This window comes from Homo sapiens, chromosome 2, assembly GCF_000001405.40.
Source record: "Homo sapiens chromosome 2, GRCh38.p14 Primary Assembly".
NCBI lineage: Eukaryota > Metazoa > Chordata > Mammalia > Primates > Hominidae > Homo > Homo sapiens.
In genome coordinates, this window is record NC_000002.12 from 6,255,119 (window position 1) to 6,256,481 (window position 1,363).

General features: G+C 38.3%; 1 annotated feature.

Moving 5' to 3' along the window:
• Positions 878–1,091: a silencer, noted in NCBI's record as "fragment chr2:6396128-6396341 (GRCh37/hg19 assembly coordinates)". NCBI's record gives its function as "represses an EF-1alpha promoter that drives an FKBP-Casp9 reporter gene in an ReSE screen in HepG2 liver carcinoma cells {active_cell/tissue: HepG2}" and the evidence as "EXISTENCE:reporter gene assay evidence [ECO:0000049][PMID:32094911]".

Here is a 1,363-nt window from a genome sequence, read left to right on the forward strand (position 1 = left end):
CAGATATAATAATCCCCAAATAAATAGTTGTTGAATTCAAATATTTTTATTTATTCTACTATATAATTACTCCAATTCACATAGAATAAAGTACTCTAAAAATCAGATACAACAAAAGCCTAGATTGTGCCACTGCACCCTAGCCTGGGTGACAGAGCAAGACTTCATCTCAAAAAAAGAAAAAAAAACCACTATCAATATTTTGCAACACTTCCTTTTCATGATTTTCTTCTGCAAACTCATTAGTCATCATCAGCATACAATTCTGATTTCTATCATTTTACAGTGTAACATTGTATTGCTATTCACACCTTTGTATCACTACAAATTTCACATAATAGATTTTAATGTTCCAAATGGATATTTCATGATTTACTGAACCATTTCAAATATTTCACTATGATAAATAAATCTTAGATAAAGCTCTTTGTGTGATGTGCAAATAACACTGTAAGAACTATGAGCTGAAAGGATGGGAGGTGGCGTTAGATTTTGATGGTGGTTGATTTGAGAGTGGCAAGATGTAGGGGGTGACAAGGTGTACACACGAATAAACTATGGTCACTGGAGAAGAGGAGTTTGGAAGATGAAGGGACTGGGATGTTAACTGTGTCATCCACACAGCTCATGAAACCACCTGGAAACATGACAGGAGTCCAGTCAGAAAGACATGCCATTGGCTACGCACTGCAGTGTCCAAAGAGAAAGGAAAGATTTCACAAGGAAATCAGAGCTAATCAGTGAGAAAGGGAGACAGTCAGAGATTGGGGAACACCTGCATGACTGGTGTCACCCAAAGAACAGTAGCTTCAAGGGAGGAAGAGTTTTTGAAGTAGGAAGAAAAAGTGATTAAAAGGCAGAGTGGGAAGCAAGCAGGACTTTTGCACCAATTCTAGACACTAACAAACATGGGATTCAAAAAGAAACATTAATCTGCTCTTGAGAGACGTCTGGAGAGACGGCCATAATGGGCCAGAGCTCAGTGCACGCTTCCTTCCTCACTGTACCCCAGTGCCTACCCAAATCCTATTACATCTGTTACTCAATGCTTGGACAATGAATAGGTTTTCGTATCAATGAGCCTCATTCACAAGAGCCCTTGTTTCATTAATTTTTCACTGTTGCCTCTTAAAAGTGAAACAACTCCCTAACTGAGAGTTACGGCTTCCTGAATATTCATCATCTATCCTGTAAGGCACTTTTTTTTTCAGAGCTTTAGACTCTCGTGTTGGTCATATCCTTTTTGCACAACTATTTCTCCTGTGTTTTCCAGACAAGATGATATAAGATCATATACACATTTCATACTCAAATGTGGCTTCCGTAAAAATTCACTTGGTAATTGCAGCTGCACTTCATGAGG